The 24631-nt window shown below is 49.1% G+C and overlaps 1 non-coding gene and 3 pseudogenes across 1 annotated transcript, besides 1 other annotated feature; 2 read left to right on the forward strand and 2 right to left on the reverse strand.

The window, feature by feature from the left end:
- UNC93B3 (unc-93 homolog B3 (pseudogene)) lies at positions 8914–13728 on the reverse strand (annotated as a pseudogene).
- Positions 9655–10262: an enhancer, noted in NCBI's record as "H3K4me1 hESC enhancer chr3:75668928-75669535 (GRCh37/hg19 assembly coordinates)". NCBI's record gives its function as "activates a minimal SCP1, AML or CMV promoter by ChIP-STARR-seq in naive H9 embryonic stem cells {active_cell/tissue: H9 hESC(naive)}" and the evidence as "EXISTENCE:reporter gene assay evidence [ECO:0000049][PMID:30033119]".
- RPL23AP49 (ribosomal protein L23a pseudogene 49) lies at positions 14515–15042 on the reverse strand (annotated as a pseudogene).
- CLUHP10 (clustered mitochondria homolog pseudogene 10) lies at positions 19870–24426 on the forward strand (annotated as a pseudogene).
- MIR1324 (microRNA 1324) lies at positions 20641–20736 on the forward strand. The gene has a single exon (NR_031714.1). It is a non-coding gene; the product is annotated as a microRNA 1324 (primary transcript).

Genomic DNA, 24631 nt, shown 5'->3' on the forward strand with positions numbered 1-24631 from the left:
GTATCTCCCTCTCCCTCCCAGGATAGAAGGAAGACTGTCACAAGGGGTTGTATACCCCGTGCGATATTGGCTGTAATATCTTCCTCTCCCCCGCTGCCCTTTAGGAGCAATGTCACACAAGGGGTGTACATCCCCTGCTATATTGGGAGTGATATCATCCTCTCCGTCCCTGGATATTAGGAAAAATATCCCTAGGGAGTGGACACCTCCTGCAATATTCAGACTAATATCATCCTCTTGCCGCCTGGATGTTAGGATCAATATCACAGGGGTGGTTTGCACCCCCGCCGAAATTGGAAGAAATATCATCCTCTTCACCTTTGGATTTTAGGGACAGTATCACGGGGGAGGTCTCCGCCCCCTGCGATATTGGGAGTCATATCATCCGCTCCCACCCAGGATATTAGGAACAAGATGACCGAAGGGATGTACACCCACTGCGATATCTTCCATAATGTCATCCTCTACCCCCTGGCTATTAGGAGTAACATCATAGAGGGGTGTACACTTTCTGTGGTATTGGGAGTCATATCCTCTCACCTACGGATATCGGGAACAGTTTTATTAATTATTAATATTAATAAATATAATAATTAATAGTAATCATCGATATTAATAACTACAGTGGAGACAGTAAAATTTAATGCTGATTAAAAATATTAATGATTATGATTAATAATTAATAACCATATCACTATTAATAACAAAATAATGATATCAGTAATTAGTCTTACTTAAATCCATCATAAGTGATGTTGGTAATAAAACAATGATTAATATTAATACTAATAACTAATATTATTTGAAATGACATTAATAGTAAGAATTAATTTTAATCATGCATAACCATGTTTTTAAAATAATGATTAATGACTAATAACGTTACACTATTAATTAATATTACCATTGATAATCATTAATGAGACTGATGTTTAATAATTCAGAATGTTCTTACTCCTAATACCGCAGGGGTTGTACACCTACCTGTGATATTGTTCCTAATATCCAGGGATGGAGAGCATGATATTAGTTTTAATATCACAGTAGGTGTACACTCACCCTGTGACACTGATCCCAATATCCAGCGGGTGGAGTATGACATGACTGCCAACACAGCAATGAATGTACAGCCACCCGGTGATATTGCTCCTAATATTCACGGAAGAAGCGTATGATATTACTCCCAATATCGCAGGGAGTGTACACCTCTTCTGTGATATTGTTCCTAATAACCCGACGGGGAGAGGATGATAATAATTCCAGCATGGCAGGCTGTGTTTACCCACCCTGTGATATTGTTATTAATACCCTGAAAGGGAGGGGATATTACTCCCAATAATAGATAGATATTACTCCTCATAATAGAGCAGGAGTTGTACACCCACCCTGTGATATTCTTCCTAATATTCAGAGGCTGAGAGGTTGATATTACTCCCAATATCGCAGGCATTGTACACCCCCTTGTGAGATGGTCCCTTCATAATATTCCAAGGCGGAGGTGGTGATGTGACTACTTGTATCGCAGAAAGTGTACACCCCCCAGGGATATTGTTCCCATGATCCTGGAGGGAAGAGGATGATATTACTTTAAATATCACAGAAGGTGGACACGCCCCCACTGATATTGTCTCTAATTGCAACATGGTAGAGGAGGATATGACACGCAATATCGCAGGGAGTAGACACACCCGTGTGATACTGTTCTTAATATTCAGGGAGGAAGAGGATGATATTACTCCCAATACAGATGGGTGTACACCCGTCTGTGAAGTAGTTCATAATTTCCAGAGGGAAGATGATATTACTCACAATATGGTAAACAGGCTGTGAGTCCACCGCGGATCCTAAAAACCAGGGGGGGAAGAGGGGCTGGCTCTTACTCCCCGCATAGCGGGGTGAGCCTCACCCCCCTGCGATGGGGATCATGAGAGACGGGGGGGGAGGGGGGCTGGCTTTCACTCCCTGCATCGCGGGGGGTGCCTCACCCCCCTGCGATGGGGGTCCTAAGAGCCGGGGTGGGGGGTAGAGGGGCTGGCTCTCACTCCCCGCATCGCGGGGGGTGTGTACAACCCCTGCGATATTGGGAGTAATATCATCCTCTCTCCCTGAACATAAGAAACAATATCACAGGAGCTTGTACACCCCCTGCGATGTTGGAAGTAACATCATTTTCTCCCCCTCCGGATTTTCGGAACAATATCACAGTGGGTGTGTACAGCCCCTGAGACATTGCCGCTAGTATCTTCCTCTCCCTCCCAGGATAGAAGGAACAATGTCACAAGAGGGTGTACACCCCCTGCGATATTGGGGGTGATATCTTCCTCTCCCCCGCTGCCTATTAAGAACAATGTCACAGAAGGGTGTACACCCCCTGCTATATTGGGAGTGACATCATCCTCTCCGTCCCTGGATATTAGGAACTATATCCCTAGGGAGTGTACATCTCCTTCAATATTCAGACTAACATCATCCTCACACCCCCTGGATTTGAGGATCAATATCACAGGGGTGTTGTGCACCCCCGGCGAAACTGGAAGAAATATCATCCTCTCCACCTTTGGATTTTAGGGACAGTATCACGGGGGAGGTCTCCGCCCACTGCGATTTTGGGAGTCGTAACATCCGCTCCCACCCAGGATATTAGGAACAAGATGACCGAAGGGATGTACACCCACTGCGATATTTTCCATAATGTCATCCTCTACCCCCTGGCTATTAGGAGTAACATCATAGAGGGGTGTACATTTTCTGCGATATTGGGAGTCATATCCTCTCCCCTACGGATATCGGGAACAGTTTTATTAATTATTAATATTAATAAATAGAATAACAATTAATAGTAATCATCGATATTAATAACTACAGTGGAGACAGTAAAACTTAATGCGGATTAAAAATATTAATGATTACAATTAATAATTAATAGCAATATCACTATTAATAATAAAATAACGATATCAGTAATTAGTGTTATTTAATCCATTGTAAGTGATGTTGGTAATAAGACAATGATTAACATTAATATTAATAACAAATATTATTAAAAATGACATGAATAGTAAGAATTAATTTTAATCATGCGTAACCATATATTTAAAATAATCATTAATGACTAATAACGTTATACTATTAATTAATATTACCATTGATAATCATTAATGAGACTGATGTTTAATAATTCATAATGTTATTACTCCTAATACCGCAGGGGGTGTACACCTACCTGTGATATTGTTCCTAATATCCAGGGATGGAGAGCATGATATTAGTTTTAATATCTCAGCAGGTGCACACTCACCCTGTGACACTGATCCTAATATCCAGCGGGTGGAGTATGACATGACTGCCAACATAGCAATGAATGTACAGCCACTCGGTGATATTGCTCCTAATATTCACGGAAGAAGCATATGATATTACTCCCAATATCGGAGGGAGTGCACACCTCTTCTGTGATATTGTTCCTAATAACCCTACGGGGAGAGGATGATAATAATTCCAGCATCACAGGCTGTGTTCACCCACCCTGTGATATTGTTATTAATATCCTGAAAGGGAGGGGATGATATTACTCCCCATAATAGAGCAGGAGTTGTACACCCACCCTGTGATATTCTTCCTAATATTCAGAGGCCGAGAGGTTGATATTACTCCCAATATCGCAGGCAGTGTACACCCCCTTGTGAGATGGTCCTTCATAATATTCCAAGGCGGAGGGGGTGATATGACTACATATATCGCAGAAAGTGTACACCCCCCAGGCATATTGTTCCCATGATCCTGGAGGGAAGAGGATGATATTACTTTAAATATCACAGAAGGTGGACACGCCCCCACTGATACTGTCTCTAATTGCCACGTGGGAGAGGAGGATATGACACCCAATATCGCAGGGAGTAGAAACACCCGTGTGGTACTGTTCTTAATATTCAGGGAGGAAGAGGATGATATTACTCCCAATACAGACGGGTGTACACCCATCTGTGAAATAGTTCATAATTTCCAGAGGGGAGATGATATTACTCACAATATGGTAAACAGGCTGTGAGTCCACCTCGGATCCTAAAAACCAGCGGGGGAGAGGGGCTGGCTCTTACTCCCCTCATTGAGGGGGGTGCCTCATGCCCCTGTGATGGGGGTCCTTAGAGCCAGTGGGGGAGAGGGGCTGTTCCCTACGTTGGGGCACTGAGGTCCCTGTTTTCTTTTAAGCTGCCATCGGGGACCACTCTCGGCATCCACAGGCCCCCTTGTATGTGGCCCCATGTCCACTTGCCCTACTCCAAGCCTGCAGAAGAGCACCTCTCTGCCATGTCCCTTTCTTTTAAAAGACTTGCCTGACTGGTTCAGGTCCACTTAGGTAGCATCCCATGTTATTAGCTCAAAAGTACTGTAGCCCATCACATTCACTCACAGGAGGGCATTAGCGGAGTGTGGACACCAGGCAGTGAGAATCTCTCAGGCCAGTTTAGTATTAAGTTGGTCAGCCAGGATCGGTGGCTCACGCCTGTAATCCCAGCACTTTGGGAGTCCAAGGTGGGCAGATCACCTGAGGCCAGGAGTTCGAGACCAGCCTGGCCAACATGGTGAAACCGTCTCTACTAAAAATACAAAAATTAGCCAGGCGTGATGGTAGGTGCCTGTAATCTCAGCTACTTGGAAGCCTGAGGCAGGAGAATCGCTTGAACCTGGGAGGTGGAGGTTGCAGTGAACCGAGATCGTGCCATTGCACTCCAGCCTGGGCCATACAGCAAGTCTCAAAAATAAATAAATGCAAAGGCTGCTGAGCGCAGTGACTCATGCTTATAATCCTGTCATTTTAGGAGGCCGAGGCAGGAAGACTGCTTAAGGCCAGGAGTTTCAGCCTAGCATGGACAACACAGTGCAACTCTATCTCTAAGTAAAATAAAATAAAATAAAATAAAATAAAATAAAATAAAATAAAATAAAATAAAATAAAATAAAATAAAATAAAATAAGTAAAATAAGAATTCAGTTGGTTAAAAGAAACTCACTAGGTCCAGCCCACAATCAAGGTATGGAAATTACACAAAATTGTGAAGAGTCAAGGGTGGGAGATCGCTGGCAGCCCCTTATAGAAGCTGCCTATCTCACATACCTGTTGGACAGCTTCTCTCTCCTAGCTGCGGGTATTTGAAGCGGGTGTCGAATCCTGCTCTTTTTTATGTCTGTTGCCTTTTCTCGCGGTGATGTGTTTCCTGTGTGTTCTGTAATTTTGGATCGTGAGCTGAGCTTCAGAGGGGCTTTATGTGGGGAATCCTGGGTGGCCAGGTTTGAGGGAGCCACCTAGAGAGGTTTTCTCTTTGGCTTTTCCAGGGGCCCCAGGGTACCACTAAGCCAAGGCAACTTTTTGTTTGAGACGGAGTTTCACTCTTGTTGCCCAGGCTGGAGTGCAGTGGCACAATCTCAGCTCACTGCAACCTCTGCCTCCCAGGTTCAAGCTATTCTCCTGCCTCAGCCTCCTGAGTACCTGGGATTACAGGCACACAAGGTATGGCTAATTTTTTGTATTTTTAGTAGAGAGGGGGGTTTCACCATGTTGGCCAGGCTGGTCTCGAACTCCTGACCTCAGGTGATTCACCTGCCTCAGCCTCCCGAAGTGCCGGGATTACAGGCGTGAGCCACCACCCCTGGCCCAAAGCAACTTTTTAGTGCTAATATCTCAACTCTGGCATTCCTAGACCACACAGGTAGCATGACTTCATTGTAGGAGTTCCACATTTATATAAGAGAGGCCTGAAAACGCAACGATCTCATGGGAAACTTGTTCAACACCTAAAGCTCAAATTTTCTCACCTTTCTCTGTTCCCCTGGGTGGAAATTTTTCTGTCCCTTTCTCTAAAGGTGTTGCATTTCTGTGGCCCCAACTTCATCATGCTTGACTGTAACCCTGACCCCCTGCCTTCTAAGGGCTTCCAAGGCTCAACCCAGCCCTGCCCTCAGGCAGTTGCAGCACCAGCTCCTCTGTCCCCACCTTGGTTCTCACTTCCCTCTTCACTTCTGGCTTTAGGGGACTTAACTTATTTTCTGAAGAACTCAGCTATATATTTATTTTATTTTATTTTATTTTATTTTATTTTATTTATATATTTTTTGAGATGGAGTTTCACTCTTTTGCCCAGGCTGGAGTGCAATGGCGTGATCTTGGCTCACTGCAACTTCTGCCTTCTGGGTTCAAGCGATTCTCCTGCTTCAGCCTCCTAAGCAGCTGAGATTACAAGCGCCTGCCACCACTCCTGGCTGATTTTTGTATTTTTCGTAGAGATGGGGTTTCACCATTGGCCAGGCTGGTCTCAAACTCCTGGCCTCAGGTGATCCACCCGCCTCAGCCTCCCAAAGTGCTGGAATTATAGGTGTGAGCCACCTTGCCCGGCCTCAGCTCTATAGTTAAAATGACATTTGTTTCTTACCCAGCATTTCTAGGTGTTTTGAAGAGGGAGATTTCTCAGGTTATCTAACCTGCTACTGAGAACTTAAAGATAGGGAAAATCTTGGACTGGAGATTCTTGTAATCACATAATTGAAAAATCCCAGCTGGGCATGATGGCTCACGTCTGTAATCCCAGCACTTTGGGAGGCCAAGGCAGGGGGATCACCTGAGGTCAGGAGTTTGAGACCAGCTTGGCCAATATGGTGAAACTTTGTCTCTAATAAAAATACAAAAAAATTAGCCTGGCATGGTGGTGGGCGCCTGTATTCCCCGCTACTCGGGAGGCTGAGGTAGGAGAATCACTTGAACCCAGGAGATGGAGGTTGCAGTGAGCTGAGATCACGCCATTGCACTCCAGCTTGGGCAACAAGAGTGAAACTCCGTTGCAAAAAAAAAGAAAAAAGAAAAGAAAAAGAAAAATCCCCACAGTGCGGATCGACAAAATCACAGAGTTGCTTTGGGAGCGAGGGTGGCAATCAGACACGGAGGCCATGACACAACCTGTTCGTCCACTCAGGGGTCCAGAACCTCCACCCAGTCACCTTATCCGGGGGTGATGGGGACAGGGGAGGTGCCACATACGCCACTGTCATCCCTTACAATGAGCTCTTCTCCTGCTCGAAAAGAGCCAGCCTGCTGAGCTTGCTGCCAGGGCCCGTCGCACTGCCTGCGCTGTTTCCCGTCGCACTGCCTGCTCTGTGTTTCCCGTTGCACAGCCTGTGATGTGTGTTTCCCGTCGCACAGCCTGTGATATGTGTTTCCCATCATGTGTGCACGAGTGTTGTCATGTAGTGTCTGTCACAGGTGTTACCCATCACGTGTGTTTGCATGTTACATGTGTGTGGCCTATCAGGTGTACATATGTGTTGTCTGGCACGTGTCAGCATCTGGGCATCCTCCGTGTGCCAGGAGCAGCCAGGTGGCCTGTGAGGCCTTCTCATGGGAAATGCCCAGATAGGAAGAGCACAGCCAGGAGCCAAGCCCCTGAGTGGCCACTCCCTGTGCCTGGATCACCTTCAAGTCTGCTCAACACCAGAGCCTCTGTTCCTTGGCACCATGGACATTAGAATTGACTCGGAACTGGGAAGAGCTGTAGGCCCACAATCCAGGCACCCGCTCCCCGTTCGCCCAGCATCCCAGGGGCCCACACCCTTCCAAATATCACCTTGCCCTCCATTCAGAGGTGAATCATCCGAGCGTCAGGTTGCCCAGCTCCGACTGGTTTTGCTGGAGCCTGCCTGGAGGATGTCGCCAGCCACCTCCAGAGAACACTCAGTCTACAGATGCGGAAGGGGAACTGGAAGCACACAGCGCTGGCCTTCACCCAGCTTATGGTGGCACCTCGGGACCGCTTCTGAGTCTGCTTGTCATTGAAGGTCAGCGTGAGGCAGGCAGCGTTCCCTCCCAGATTTAGAAAATGTCAAGTCTCCCGCCGCACCCTTTTGTGTTTCTTACAGGCCCTGGGGAGCTTGCAGCCGCCACACTAAGGGCTCCAACATGTTACCTCACACACTCAACAGAGAAGGAACCTGTGGCTCAGATGGGAGACTCCCTGTCCAAGGCCACAGAGTCTGGCCCCAGGGCCCACTAGAGGCTTCAAGAACCAAACTCACATGAGGGCAGAGAGGAGAGATGGGGTCAGTTTAGGGCTGGGAGAATCCATAGAGCGATGCTGAGGCAGGCATGGAGCCTGGAGGTACAGACGAGGGCCTCTCCAAAGTCAGGGGTAGAGAGGCTGTGGGGAGTGAGGAATGGTGTGGGCCAGCCCCGGGCGTGCTGGGGTGCAGCTGGGGGCTCCATGGCCCTCCCACGGCCCCCACTTGTCCTCACCCAATCGTTCAGAGCTCTTCATGGCGGGGGTGTCCCTCTCCTCTGGCCACAAGAGGAGCGGGTGGAGGAACGGCACCTTCAGGCCTTGTAGGGGGTCTGCCCCTCCACCAGCCTGTTTCTCGTGGGCATCGCAGCTGAGGCTGTAGCCGGGAAAGGGTAGTAACCGAGCATAACTGGCCTCCAGCCACCACTTCCAAGGCCCCTACTGGGCACAGGGTGACCCCACCGTGGCTCGGAAGTGGACCCTGTCCGACGCGGGGGTGGTCGCTGGAGGGCCGAGGATGCCTACACAGGCCCCTGGAGGGTGTGCCTCCGGAGTCTGTCGCGCCCTCAGGACCCATGGGGGACCAGCAACGCGGTCACACCCTCCTCTGTCTCTGCCAGCCGCTCCGTCGCTTCCTTCTCCTGGCTGGGATTGGCAAAGGCAGGCAGCTATGGGGGGCGGGGCCTCAGGAGGGAGGACAGGCTGGTGGACGGGGCCTACGGACACCTCGCCCCGCCCCCAGTGGTGCTCCGCACTCCCCACACCCCGCGGCCCCCCTAGGTCAGGGCCTCCCACCACCGCGCCCAGAGGCCGGGCCAGCCAGGCGTGCACCCCAGGGGCGCTCCGTCCCCCGCGGCCTGGGACTCCCCAGTCAGGACAGTACAAAATCTCTTTATTGCTCATTTTCTGTAAAAAATCGTGGCTCTCGGCGGACCCTGGGAATAGGAGGTGCAAAGCGCGCTCACACGCAGCCCAGGTCCGCGGCCGAGAGCTGGGGGGATCTGGAGCGGGGCCAGGTAGCAAGAAGACCCTGACCCTGCTCTGGGGCTGGGGCGCGTGCTAGGGGCCCGCGGGGTTTCAGCTGTATTTTCGAACCCCTGTGCTTGGCCGAGGGGTTCCCAAGGCTCCACTCCGCCTTGGAGGGGGCTGCGGAAGCCCAGAGGTGACCCAGGCTCTGGGAGGGGCGTCCCCAACGTGGGGGAGGGGAGACAGGGGCCTTTGAAGACAGCGCGGGACTCGGAGGGGGTCCCCCCGACCTAAGACGTGGTAAACTGAGGCCGGCGAGGAGGGAGGCTGAGTCCGGGGACCAGGCGGCCCCTCACTGCTCCTCCGGCCCATCGCCCCCTGCGCCTGTTCGTACGGGCAGGGCCGGCGGCCGAGTCCAGCGGGCTCGGGGCCAGGCCTGGGCCCTGCGGGCGGAGCCTCCGCCTCCGCCTCCTCGCCGTCCCCAAGATCGCCCTCCGCGTCGCTCTCGTCCGAGTTGTCCTCCTCCAAGTAGCGGTAACCGCGCACCTTGTGCTGGGGCCGCGGGATGCGGGGCTGCCGCGGGGCCACGCCCCGCCGCAGCTTCTGCTCCATCCGCAGGTAGGAGACCGTGGCCGCCACCAGCGTCACCAGCAGCAACGCCAGCTTAGCCTGGGCGTAAGGAGAGGGATGCCAGGGACCCGCGGCCGCCTCGCCCCACACCTTTCCCGCCTATGCCCCTCGCTGAGATAGGCCCTTCCCTCCTCCGGGAGCCTCCCGGGCCACGCGGCCCTCAACTTCTCCAGCCCCTCCACCCACTCTTCCTGGACCGCCTCCTGCAGGCGAGGCTCACATCCAGCACTGTCCCTTACAGTCACCATGCCCCTGGCGACCTCAGTGTCCCACGCTGTAAGGAGACAATGCAAATCCCTTTGCCTCATAGGGTGCATGTGCCAGTGTTGATAAAGTGCTGGCCACAGGCCCTGCCTTCCCAGGGCTCACAACACTGAGTCCCTGACACACCCGTGGGCTGTAGTGATGCTTTTCATGGGGTTTTGACTATAACCCGCAGTCAGGAATGATTTTACAACATAGCTCAGTACATACACACATATCTGTATGCATACTTCCGGCTATTTTCTTTTTTCGAGACACGGTCGCTCCGTTTCCCCACCGCTCCCCCTCCCTCCCTCCCCCCACCCACTGCTGGAGCGCAGTGGCATGCTCACTTCAGCCTCAATCTTTGAGGCTCAAGCCATCCTCCCACCTCAGTCTCCCAAGTAGCTGGAACTACAGGCACGCGCCACCACTCCCAGCTAATTTTTAAATTTTTTGTAGAGGCAGGGTCTCTTATGTTGCCCAGGCTGGTCTTGAACTCCTGGCCTCAAGCAATCCTCCTGCGTCAGCCTCCCAAAGTGTTGGGATTACAGGCATGAGCCACCATGCCCTGCCCACTCACTGCTTTTCTTTTTTCTTTTTTTCTTTTTTTTGGGAGACAGGGTCTCGCTCTGTCCTCCAGGCTGAAGTGCAGTGGCGCGATCTTGGCTCACTGCAACCTCCATCTCTCAGGTTCAAGCCATTCTCGTGCCTCAGCCTCCAGAGTAGCTGGGATCACAGGGACGCGCCACCATGCCCAGCTAATTTTTGTGTTTTTAGTAGAGACAGGGTTTCACAGCCTGTTACCCAGGCTGGTCTCGAACTCCAGACCTCAGGTGATACCCCCACCTCAGTGTCTCAAAATGCTGGGATTACAGGAATGAGCCACTGTTCCCGGCCCACTCCCTGCTATTTTTAGTTCTATTTTTATTTTTATTTTTATTTTTATTTGAGACGGAGTTTCACTCTTGTTGCTTAGGCTGGATGGAGTGCCAAGGCCCCGTCTCGGCTAACTGCAACCTCCGCCTCCCAGTTCAAGCAATTCTCCTGCCTCAGCCTCCCGAGTAGCTGTGATTACAGGCGCCTGCCACCACGCCCGGCTAATTTTTGTATTTTTAGTAGAGATGAGGTTTCACCATGTAGGTCAGGCTGGTCTCAAACTCCCTACCTCAGACAATCCACTCGCCTCGGCCTCCCAAAGTGCTGGGATTACAGGCGGGAGCCACCGCGCCCGGCCTTTAGTTCTATTTTTCAAAAATGTTTAGCAACTGGGACTTGCTAGACTGAGCCACCATCTTTTGGGAGCAGCGCCTGAGGAGCCTGCTCCCCTTCAGGCCATAAAGGGAGACAGACCCATCATCTGGAGAACAGGGTACCAAACAGCCCACAGGATGGCTGTGATGCACCCACAAATCCCCTCAGAGATGGGCAAACTGAGACTGGCTGGAGGTGGGCCAGTAAGTGGGTTGCTGAGTTGAGGGCCACCCAGTGGGCTGCAGGAATGAGGCTTGGCCCAGAGACTGGCTTGGGAAGGGGTGGCGTTTAGGAAGCTGTGAAGCCAGGGCAGGGGCTAAGGAAGTACCTGTCATTGGGCATGGGGCCCCCAACCCTGCCCAGTCTCACCTTCATGTGCAGGCTCGAGCCCAGGTACACGGTGAAGATGGCCACAGCCTGCCACCAGTGGTAGATGGTGAAGATGAAGTCCTGTCTCTCCTTGTCTTCATACAAGATTCCCAGGAGTGCTGCAGGCAGGCAGTACAAGGCAGGCAGGGGAGAGGTGTCACCTGGGGCCTGGGGCTGCCGAGCTACCATCTATGAACTTTACTAAGCCCTGTATGGGTCCCAGCCCCGGACCAGAGAGCACCTAGAAAGTGCTGTGAGCTGGTCCTGGCCTGCTCCCTGGTGGAAACCCTGGTCACCACACTGCTCACACGCTAAGCAGAAGTAGGAGCAGGTGCGTCGGGCTTTGTGGATGCAGGTGGTCCCGCTCCGCACCACATGCGTGGCCTCAAAAGAAGAAAGCTCTGTGCTTAGTCATATCCTGTCCACAACCCCAGGTGTGCAATGCCAAGCTTGCAGGCACTGTTTCTCCTCTTCAGCCGGGACTAGAGAGATCGAACTGTTTGCAGCTGCCAACTCTGCAAACCAAACCTGAAGCTAAGCATGGAGAGTGGGGCTTCCTTTCCAGTGAGTCCTCCCAGGGTGGGCAACAAGAGTAATGGATTGGGAGTCAGAAGATGCACACTCGTTCTCAGGACTGTAATGTTGGCTCTGTGGGTGATTTGGGTACTTAACTCCCCAGAGCTGTTTTTCCCAATGGTGAGATGAGCTTATGCCTATTCTGTGCTGTCTTCTGAAGTTCTAAAGTGAGAAAGTGGGCATGGCACCTGCCAAATCATAGGGACCACTGTTAACACCTTCACCAGGCACTCAGGACATGAACACTCCTGTCTTGGGGCCCTGCAGGGTGACTTTACCCCCACAGTGCTGCTATGAAGAGACAAGGATCCCCTGGGGTTGACCGGAGGAGATGGGATATGGAGCTGGGCAGAGGGGATGCCAGGACCAGACAGGGCACAACATGGGTCCAAGATACCCAGGTTGGACTCTGCCCAGAATTGGCTATCTTTGGGAAAAACGGCCAAGAGACTCTGGTGCAGTATGAGGCTCCAGCCCCTGCTACAGACAGAGACACCGAGCCAGCCTATGCCCTGCCAGCAGCAGGCATGACCTCTGCCACTCCACACCCCCAAGGATGATGTTCAAAACTGTTCACAGCTTTGGCCCATCAGAACAGACACTGACATGGGTGCCTCGCAGGACTGTGCCCATGTGTGCTAGCTGTGTGTCACTGCATGTGCCCATCTGTGGGCAGGGAGCATCCTGGAGCTGAACATGGGCCCACCCGCTGCCTTCTGCAAACAGGGCCCTGTTCCCCAGCAGCCCAGACCTGGGGCCTGGACTCTGGTACTGAGCAGAATGGGTTGGGGCTGCAGGCCTGCTCCTCTCTATACAAAGGCCCATGTCTGTATCTATGCCATGGATGTACAACGGGCCACTTGCTCCTACCACATGCTCCATGAGGCAGAGACCAAAACATCTGCTCCAAGTGTCATGACAATTATGCCAGGGTAAGCCCTGTCCCCTGGTATGAAAAGGGAGAATCCCTGATGTGTTTTTCAAACTGTCCCTAAGGGGTGTCCACAGAGCCCCACACCTGCCCCGTGTAGCCACGAGATTTCACACTGACACTCCAGTGTTGATGGGGCCCTGTGCCCGCCCTGGGGTATTAATGGAATGTCCATGGCGTGGAAACCCCATACCTCTCTCCAGGGTGTCCATGCCTTACCCATCTGTCCCCAATGTGTCCATGAGACTTCCCTTCCACCCCCAGAGTGTCCACAGGAAGCCCCACCTGCCTCTGCCATGTCCACAGGACCCTATGTGACCATGGGACCCCATATCTGTCCCTGGGATGTCTATGTCTAGCCAACCACCCACAGATAGCCATAAAGCCCCCTGCCCCGCCCCCCCCGCTCCCCCCCCCCCCCAGTGCACACAGCTATACTCACTGCTGAGTCCAGTCTTGTTCAGGGAGCTGCCCACAACCCAAAGGGCGGCTGCCACATAGAGGATCCAGCTGTGTTGCAGGACCCGAGGCACAGGGGCCCAGAAAAAGAGGATGAAGGTGAGCAGCAGGTGCACCCCTGCTCCAGCCACCAGGGGCACAGGGCGTGGCAGCCACAGGCCCAGCAGGCCCAGGAGTGAGGTGGCTGAGGCGCCCAGGCTGTAAGGCACGAGGAGGTAAGCCAGCCACTCCAGCCCCACCGAGCACACACCATAGCCCTGCGGGGGGACAAGGGGTGAGTGTTGAAGTCCGGAACAGCCCAGACCCCAGTCTCAGAGCCCTCCCCGCAGCGCGGGGAGTGCCTCACCCCCCTGCGATGGGGGTCCTAAGAGCCAGGGGGGGAAGAGGGGTTGGCTCTTACTCCCCGCATCATGGGGGGTTCCTCACCCCCCTGCGATGGGGGTCCTAAGAGCCAGGGGGGAAGAGGGGCTGGCTCTTACACCCCGCATCGCGGGGGGCGCCTCACCCCCCTGCTATGTGTGTCTCTTAATCCGATCAAGTAGATGCCTAAAATTAACCATCAGAATATTTATGCCTGATTCATGTCTGAAATTTCAGGATGAAAGCTATGAAATCTCTATTTGTGTTTGTATATCTGTTAAAGTATGTTATGTATATGTGATATATTCTTAACTCCGGAGAGCATTGCAAAATTCATTTATAAAGTCCTCTAAAAGTGCTCTATTCTAACTTGGCTTGGAAAAAAATAAGCATTTATAAATAAATATTCAGCAAACTCCTAGAAATATAGGAACTGATCAAATGTTTTTTAAGTTAACACGATTTGGATAAAACTTAGTTAAATAAGATTAATATAATATTTTTGGTATAATAAAACAACTATATCTTCAAAGTTATCACTATTGAATATAAAACAAGCATAAATTCCCATTCTGCTTGAGTTCTAGTCAAATAAGCTAATATTATAATTACTAGAAACATAAAATCTTAAAGCTTATAGATTTGATTCTAATTAAGTTGTCACTCTTATGAAAAACATTTTTTTATGGTGAAAAGATACACATATATTTAGAGTTAGCCAGCTGGACTCAGTTTAGATGATCCCAATTTTGTTGCAACATCCAAAGCATCATAATCAGGAGCGAGTCGAACATATGCCTTTTTCTCTTTATCAGGACAAATCAGGGTGGTGACCTTGGCCACATCACTGTCATAGAGCTTCTTCACAGCCAGTTTGATCTGGTGCTTGTTGGCTTTAACATCCACAATGAACACAAGTGTGTAGTTTTCTTCTGTCTTCTTCACGGCCGACTCAGTGGTCAGCGGAAACTTGATGATAGCATAGTGGTCAAGCTTGTTTCTCCTGGGGGTGTTCTTCCGAGGATATCTGGGCTGCCTCTGGAGTCACAGTGTCTTGGGCCACCTGAAGGTGGGTGACATGTGGATCTTCTTTTTGCATGTGGCTGTGGACACCTTTCAACACTGCCTTATTGGCCTTTAAAGCCTTCGCTTTGGCTTTGGCTTTAGGAGGAGCAGGAGCTTCCTTCGCTTTTGGTGCCATCTTGTGAAAAGCAAAAAACATTATTTCAAATATAATTTGTTTACAGTAAATCTGCCTAAGAATAGTCTCCAAAGTACTTTTGGTAATTTTTAACCTTAAAGTTAAGCTAAGTAAAAGATTTGCATTAAATATCTAGACCATTTATAAATAAGATACAATACTAAAACATTAATTACTGAACACAAGTAATTCAAGTTTATATACTTTTGGCTTCCTATTTTTACAGAGAGACTAAAGATATTTTGGCCCGTTAATAAACATGTTTTTTTCTGCCACACTGAGGAATTGTATTATGAGGAAACACTTCCCTCTAGATGTTGGGAGATGGTATATTCATACATTTTCTAACCTACTATAGAATGCTAATATATTACAGCTTATAACTGTCTACTTCCCAGTTTTCTCTGGAAAATAAAAGATTACTAAGTATTAAAATTATAATCAATATATGTAAATAAAACTACTAGAAATAATAGAATAACTAGAAACAACTCTATGCTAAGCATGCAAGAAAAGTGGGGCATGTTTCACAAGTAAAGTAGGTTGTATTTTTTATAAGGAAAACCATACATAAGATACAAATAAAAAGAGATACCTAACCTTCCCTGTGTTATATTTGTATGGGTAAAATGTTATGTTTTCAGAAATTATATAAAATTCCTGGAAATTTGTCAATGTCCTCCTTATCCATGCTATGTGCCACCATAGAGTAATGAGTCATAATTCCAATTATTATTTTAAATGTTGTGCCAGGCGCAGTGGCTCATGCCTGTAATCCCAGCACTTTAGGAGGCTGAGGCAGGTGGATCACAAGGTCAGGAGGTCCAGACCATCCTGGCTAACCCGGTGAATCTCTGTCTCTATTAAAAATACAAAAAATTAGCCGGGCGTGATGGCAGGCACCTGTAGTCCCAGCTACTTGGGAGGCTGAGGCAGGAGAATGGCGTGAACCTGGGAGACAGAGCTTGCAGTAAGCCGAGATCGCACCACTGCACTCCAGCCTGGGCGACAGAGTGAGACTCTGTCTCTAAATAAATAAATAAATATATGTTGTATGCCACAGAAAAAATCGAATATCCTTGTCAGTTGTGGTATAATGAACTCTCCTCAGATCTTTCATCACAGCCATTTCATACTTTTGGTCATTTAGATATTATTTCCCCCTGATGCTTTCCTGAAAGCTCCTGCAATCAGCTACAGGTCAGAATATTCGTCTCCAAGACAGGACTCCCTCTGAGACTCACAGAAAAGACTATGACAGGTACTCTGGTTATAGGCTTCTGATGATATTGCTTAAATAACTTTAAGACCATACGCTTGACTCAGTTAAGGTCTCCAGAAGTCTGGTTGGGAAATTGATGGGTTCCTGACACTGCTAACCCAAGATCCACAAGACTGGAATTGATTACATGGCACTGAATGAACTGATGAAAATTGATTATAATTTTATAGCTTTTTGGAGCATTGCTGGTTCTTTAATATTCTAGTTTCTGGATTTAAGAAATCTCTTTCTCTTACTCTAACTGTAACTTGCAACAATTTAGTAGATTATACTTTTGTAAACAGAAATGAAGCATTTATCTTTTTTTCCCTGCCTGATTTTTCCAGAATTTTGAAATCCTTACTGAATACTCTCATTTCCATGATGATATAGTTGTTAGCAAAAGTCCAATAAGAATCTATTCACCTTATAACAGGACATAATTGGAAATTTTGGTTATATTATCAAGATTTTTACTGGAATATCATATTTAGGAAGTGTACCTAAGATCAGTTATGACAAGCAATTTTAAGGAAGTAAGGTTGACTTTTATGGAGACAATGCTTACAAAGCACTGTGGAAAACTTTGAGGAAAGTTCTTCCTCAAAGATTATAAAGTCACAACTATCCACTATTTTTATGTGTGTGTGTGTGTGTGTGTGTGTGTATGTATTCCAAATCACTTGTCCTAGCTTGCTCCAGCATGCCTGGACAGAACTAGACAAGCCCCAGCCCATAGTACATGCAATTCCTTATTTGGAGATGCTTCCTTAACTATCCTTGGGCAACTTCCTTTTCTTTCTTTCTTCTATTCCCCTTACCTAATTAAGAAAGTTTTAAACTAACAGCCAATCGGGTAAAGTGTAAATTGTGAGGTCCTATTCCAGCCAATGGAAACTGGACACAGCAGTAGGGTAGATACATCAGGTTATAAGTAACTCTGTCTCCTTTGTTTGATGTGTTCTTGTGGCTGGACAGCTATTGAGTAGCACCCTTTCTGCAGAAAAGTAAAGTTCACCTTGCTAAGAGATCATTTGTTCCCATGTTAATTCTTTTTTTTTTTTTTGGAACATCAAAAACTTCATTCCCAACAGCACTCTGAGAAAAGCCAGCCTGATACCTAGATTACAGGGTTCACAGCCTTATAGGTTAGTAAGGAAGGTCATTTCATGGTAGGCCCAGGAATTTAGGGATATTTTGGGGCCTCAAGAAGAGAGGAATTCACACAAAACTATAAGGACTACAGCTGAAATTTGATAGTATGTTCTTGGCTTGGCTTTTAGCCTGAATAAGGGCTTTAAAAGTCAAATCTGAGATTCTGTATGAAAACTTCCAGCAAAGAAACCTGAAAGCACCTACGTGGTCATCTCCTGTTCTTGCTGCACTTACGTAAATAATCAAGCAAAATCTAACAAAACTAGACTTATTTTTAAAACAAGAATAGTCTTACTTTGATTGTGATCAAAAATGATGGTTACTACAGAGAGAAATTTAATGTTTCAATGGAAAAGTATAACATGGCCGGGCATGGTGGCACATGCCTATAATTACAGCACTTTGGGAGGCCAGGAGTTCAACATCAGCCTGGGCAACATGGTGAAATCTTGTCTCTACCAAAAATACAAAAATTAGATGGGCATGATGGCGTGTGCCTGTAGTCCCAGGTAATCAGGAGGCTGAGGAGGGAGGATCATTTGCACCCAGGAGGTAGAGGTTGCAGTGAGCTGAGATTGCACCTTTGCACTCCAGTCTGGGTGAAAGAGCCAGACCCTGTCTCAAAAAAAATTTTTTTAAAGGAAAACTATAGCCATTGTGGGTTATCAGATTCTAGTCTTGTTTCTTGTTTCTTGACTATTTTTACCTCTTTGCGAACTGGATCCTGCCATCTGATGAATTTTGTCCCACAATGATACTTGGGGAACAAGAAGCCAAGTATTGTCTCTCCTACTAATGCATCTATTGTCAGTTAATTTTAAGGTCTCCAACCCTGGAACAAAGTTAGAAAAGGAAGGTTCTGCTCCCCAAAATGCATAACCAAATTGTGGTACATTCATGTAATGGAATACTATTTAGCCATACAAAGGAACAAGCTATCAACTCACACAAAGACATGAGTGAATCTTACATGCACATTGCTAAGTGGAAGAAGACAGTCTGAGGAGGATACACACAGTGTGACCTCATTTAATGAGACACTGGAGAAGGCAAACTACACAGATGGGAAGCCATTGGCTCCATGGGGTGGGGGTTTGAAGCATTCCATATGATACTTTAATAGTGGGATATCTGCCACAATGCATTTTTCAAAATATGCAGAATTTTACAGGCAAATGGTTAAAGCAAACTCTATTCAAATTAAATAAAATTACTCAGGATGTGGAGTATCCCAGGACAGAATACATCATGTGAAAAAGAATTTATGCTACAAATTACTATGGTTTGGATGTGGTTTGTCCCCGCAAAAGCTCATGTTGAAATTTAACCCCCACTGTGTCAGTGTGGGGTGGTGGGGCCTAGTGGACAGTGTTTGGGTCGTGGGGACGGATCCTTCATGAATAGATTAATGTCCTCCATGGGGGTGAGTGAGTTCTGTTCTCACAGGAATAGATAATTCCTGCAGGACTAGGTAATTAAAAAGAGTCTGGCTTCCTTGGCTTCCCTCTTGCTTTCACTTTTGCTATGTGATCTCTGGTGCACCCCTTGCTCCCCTTCCACTTTCCACCATGAGGTGAAAAAGACTGAGGCCCCACCAGATGCAACTGCCCAATCTCAGACATCCCAGCCACCAGTATTGTGAGCCAAATGAACCTTTTTTACTTATAAATTATGCAGCCTCAGGTATTCTGTTACAGAAGCACAAAATGGACTAAGACACAAATGTAGGTAAAAACTCACTGAAGGTGTAGGGAAAATGGTGTTGACCTAAGTAACTTTGAAAATGAATAGAATCTGTAGGCTGATGGCAAATGAACTATACTTCATCATTGGATTCCATTTTATAAAGTTCTTTCCAACAGAAGCAATTGTGAACAATTGTAAAACCACGGTGTCTGTATCTGGAATAAAACAATGACTTACATAAGTCACAGATGGTGGGAACCAGGTTTCTCACTGTTGAAGTGGGAGGTTACAAATTAGCAAGGCGAGAAGGCTAGAATGATTCATGTGATAGTAGATCAGAGGTGGAGACATCAATGTAAACTTATGTTTAGTTTAATATAGATACACACAGTTCTACATAGAAAACTTTATAATTAGGTGTGTATAGGTAGGTTAGACACACACATATACTTCCTAGCATTGCCAATGAGGGACAAGATACAATGTGCTCATTCAGCAGCCAGATGCAAGTTTTCCTACCATTCTGAAAGGAATCAGGCTCTTTGAAGAAATGTCTGATACTAGAACTGGGACAGTAAATATAGGAGCCAGGATAATATAGGTCCAGGGGGGGCCATCGTGTCTCCAGAACCAGAACTGGAAGGTCCAACTTCCAGGGGGAGAAAGGAAGAGTGTCCTTAGTGAAGTGGAGGGCCTCACAGCAAGATGCCTGGCTTAATCAAACTTGGACATACCTGAAGCACGTTCAGTGACTAAAAGTGCCTACCATGAGCAGCTGGAACCCACTCCCTGAGAGCTTCAAGAAGCATGGGTACCTCTTGTACCTGTTTGTAATTACAGCCAAGGACCAGCAGGCAGCATTACTGCATCCACATGGGGCTTTTACTGGAACCAGTAAGTCTCTGCCAGCCCCTCACAGGCTCCTGGGATGCCACTCGTTCTGGGTCTGTGGACAGACAACCAGGACACTTGCTCAGTGCCCACCCACTCCTTGTGGCCCACAGCCCATCACTCAACCCCAGCCCCACCATCCCCTGCTTCCTAAGCCGTTCCTCATGCCAGAAGAAAAGGCAATGCCTTTGTCCCACAGCCTCTGCCTTGTGTCATGTCATGTGGGGGTATGGAATGAACCGGCCAGCCTAAACTCCAGTGCTTCTGCCTGAAGAATCTGTCCCCACTGTCTGAGTCGCCCTCTAGGGAGCTGTCAGTGGGGGAGAGAGCAGCCCTGGAAGAGAGGCCCACCTGCTTCTGTCTGACTTCAGGGCAGCCTCTCAGGGCAAGAACCCAGAGCAGATGGAGGCCTCACAGAAGCCTGTGGCAGGGCTCTGGGCTTGGTGGCTGAACATCTCCCTCTCTGCTGCCAGCCATGGGGCCCAGAACCACCCATTCAAGAGGGTCACCACCACATTGCAGGTGTGCAGCTGGACGGCTCCCCAGGCAGAGCCTGCCATGGACTCCATGCACACAGAGGATGCACACCTTGAGGCTGGACTATGAGGAGAACATTCCTGAAGAGGTGCATGAAGCCTGGTCCTGCCCTCACTGGGAACCCCCTTCCCTCTGGGTACCAGACAGAATTCTATGCACTTTCCTGGAGGCTCCATGCTGGTCTGTTCATTTGGAAGTTTGAGGCTGTCCATGAGGAAGTAACAAAAGAGATATCTCAGAGCAGGTTGTGGGGCACAGGCTGAGCCCTTGCCTAGTCCCTCCCTAGTCCCTTTGCAGAGCCAGGGCTGGAACAAGGACCTGTGGATAATGAGGGAACTGCTCTGCAATAACCGGCCTGAGCAGCTGCTTCAAGAAACAGCCACAATCAAGGCACCTATAGCCCCTGGTGAGTGACTGGCAGCCTCAGGCCCACCTGCCATCTGTGAGCAGGTTTTCTTGCTAACAGGATGAAAGCAAAGAAAGCTGGAATAAGCCCAGCCCTCTCAGGCACCTTGAAGTCTGTTGGGGTTCCTTGCAAAGCCTTCTAGCCTTCTGCTTCTTGGCAGCCCACCCAAGCACCTTTTTCTAGCCTCTAAGACTTTGATGCTCTGGAAGGAGAGGGCCCTACTTTCCACTAGGCTATGGGGCCAGGCCCATCCAGCTCCCTATTTCTACTAACAACCACAGGGCTCTCACCTGGGCACACACTGCCCAACCATAGCCCTTCTAAGGCAGAAGATCATTTGTCTTGCAGTTTCAGCTTGCTAGGGCTTAAAAGTTATCAGTGCTGTTATTAAGATAGAGAAGTGAGATCATCAGCACAGGTGACAGCACAGGCCGGGCTGCTGGGGAGGCTGAGGGAGAGTGTCCAGCCTATTCTGCCAGCTGGGCCTTCCCAGGGGTGTCTCGTGACCCAGTCCCTTAGAGAAGCATGAAGACATCTCAGCAAGGAGCTGGAAGGTGCAGATCAGGGCAGCCCAGCACCACTGATGGTAGAGGGGGGCTACCTCCAATCAAGCTGTGTCTCCACAGCTGACCCGTGGAGCCAGGAGGTGATTTACAACTTCTGCAAGGCAGTCAGCTCCGTCAGCTGTATGCCCTTCAACATTCACTTCAACTCAAACATCCCACCAGAAAGCAGTGGGGACTGGCGAATGCAGCAGCCCTGCAAAGTGGAACAGAGCATCCTGGGGTGGGGGATCTGGGGTCTGCCTGCTCATCTGAGCACTGCTCCCTGGGGGTGTGCTCTGCAGGCTCCCTGAAGGAGGGCTGGGAGCTCATCAGGGAGACCCTGAGCCTGTGGAACATGCCTGAGGCCATGTCCATGGGGATTTGTGCCTACTTGCACCTCCTTGCTCATCTCACTATGCTATTGGTGACTGTGCTGAGGTGGGTTTCGAGCATCCCCTGGGCTGTGTCAGCACAGGGCTCTGGGCCTGGCCTGGCATTGAGGGATGGCAAATAAGGGGCCTGGGTTTGCATTGTCACCTCCTATGATTCCAGAAAATAAGGAAGTCCAGACCTGCAGTACTGGAACCCTATCAAAGGGGTTAGGAGGCCGCTCACTTTCCCTCAGGGCCGCATGTGGAGGAGCTGAGGGAGGTTAAGGAGACCCTGGGGACTCACTTGTTCTGTCTGGGCTTCCCCCAGCTCCACCCTTTGATAACCATTTTCTGGGAAGAGCTCAGGAACCTCTTGTGCTCTAGTGAGGTGGGGCCTTCCCTCACAGGGTATTGGTGAGGAGGCATTCTGAGACTCTGTGAGTGAGAAGCTAACACAGTGCCTGAGAATACTCATGGGAGCTGTCATCCTCTGTGACCATCACGTGACCTCGTAGTGTTCAGACTGCCTGGCCTGGCCTTGGGCTTGGTAAGGCTGTTTTGGGGTCAGCTGCTTTAGACTCCCACTTTCTCTGCATTCAAACAGTGACTGTTTTAGTGTTTGCTTATGGGTTTAAAAAATCCTAATATTTCATTTATAGTAGTTTCAGCTTGTATGTGTGTATTTGTATAAATTTTATTAGAAGAAAGAGGGCTTAAGACAACAGCATTTTAAGAAGGTCTTAATGGGGCATAGACTTTTATGTCACAACAGCTAATACTGACCTCTTTTTCTACCTTTGCATAAAGTATACATAGAAAATGTAGCCAGAGGTGGTGAGGCTAAGTGTCTAGAGCTGAGCTGCTTGGGCTTGCTTGCTGGCCTGCAGTCAGGTGGACTCTGGCTGCGAGGCAGTGCCCACCCTGAACCTACACCCCCACCCTCTCTCCTTAGTCCCTGAGTAACCAACACAAGGCAGTGCTAATGAGCAGGGGAGTGATGGGCATCGGGAACCCCAATACTATCCGGGAAGATTTGAATGCCATCTGGGCTGGGGCTGTTGTGGGTAGGGGCTGTGGCTGCCTTGGCTTATCATGGTGCCACCCACAGATGTGCCTGCCCTGTGCTGTTTCTCCAGCAGCTGGCTGCCTGTGGCCCTGAGCCTTTAACAGCATGCGTGCTACCTCATGCTACTTGTGTTTGAAAAACCATCCCAACATGATGCTGCTGGATGTGAGTGCTGAAAAGGGGGCAGCACCTTTGTCCTGGGGGATTAGGAGCTGACCAGATTCCTCCTGACTCCCTCCCAAAACAAGTGGGGCTGGTGCTGCAATTAATGATGCCCCCCAGAAGATGTGTTTGCACTGGCTGAACAAGTACATGATACAGAGGCCTAAATGAAGACACATGAATGGGGACATCAGTTAGCAGCTGGGAAACAGGTGCCTCTCAGGCCTCTCATTCTTCAGCAAGTGTGGAATATGCCTGTGCCCTTGAGTGTATACATCTGGATTGTATACATCTGGCTGTTGCTTTTGCTGCCACTATCCCCAGGCCCAATCTAGCTTAAAGTCCAGGTTTTAAGTAAAAAAGATAAGAGGATTTTCTGTGTTCTGGGATAGGAAGCTAGGGATCTGTGTAGGGCTGGGGTTGGGTGCACATTAGTTTTGTGACAGGATGAGAGCTGCAGTGGTTTTATTAATCGTGATAGCCTGGCCTGGTTGTAGCTCCAGGTGAGGGGGAGGGAGTCAGCAGTGGTGGTCCCGGAGACATCCACCCGCCCAGCCCTGGCCTTCCTGCCCTCAGGCACAGCAAAAGGCACCGCCACAGGCCCCGACTTCCTTCCCTACTCTCTGCAGCCCAGATGGGAAAACTTGGAGGCTACAATCTGAATATATTTTTCTCCCATTTTAACCCGAGCTGCCTAACACACAGTGGGGGCAGGGTGGGTGAAGGGCCTGGGGAAAAGCAGGGCTGGATCATGGATCCCGGGGGAAATTTAGAGATGCAAAGTGGTTGTCACCTCTCTGTGGAACCCAGCTCCATACCTGGTCCTTGCCACACAGCCCTTTCTACAGAGAATAGCTCTGGGGCGTTTGGGGATCCCTATGGCCCCGGGTGGCTTCCTGTCCCCCGCTGCCTATGCTGCTTCCCTTGCCTGCTGTCAGAGCCCAACATGGAGGAGGAGGTTGCCGTCCTGGGAGCCTGAGGGAGCTCTTCCCTTGCCTGCTGGCAGAGCCCAACGTGGAGGAGGAGGTTGCCGCCCTGGGAGCCTGAGGGAGCTCTTCCCTTGCCTGCTGGCAGAGCCCAACATGGAGGAGGAAGTTGCCGCCCTGAGAGCCTGAGGGAGCTGTGTCTGACTGGGGCTTCTGCCTGGGGTTTTGCAAAGAGCTACTTATGAATATAGTCTCTCCAGATTCCTTGTTTCAAAGGAAGTGAGCATGAGCTAGCAAGTGTAGCAACCCCACAGCTGATAAACAACTTTGTCTTGGTTTTAAACCATCACATCTTCATTTCACATTGGAATAAAGTAAGTGAAACCTGCTACCCCAGCCTTGCCCGTGTGTTCTGTAACCCAGTCTCCTTTGGTTGTGAGGGCTGTTGTCAGAAATGTTATAAGAAAAGATTATGCATAAATGAAATCAAATGTAAAATTATGCTTATAATGTCACTTGAGTGAAAGGTAAGAGGGTAGAGTCACAGGCACTCAGCTGGGGTTTACCCACCCATCACTTACCACGCTCATGAGA

Source organism: Homo sapiens, chromosome 3 (genome assembly GCF_000001405.40).
Source record: "Homo sapiens chromosome 3, GRCh38.p14 Primary Assembly".
Classification (NCBI taxonomy): Eukaryota; Metazoa; Chordata; class Mammalia; order Primates; family Hominidae; genus Homo; species Homo sapiens.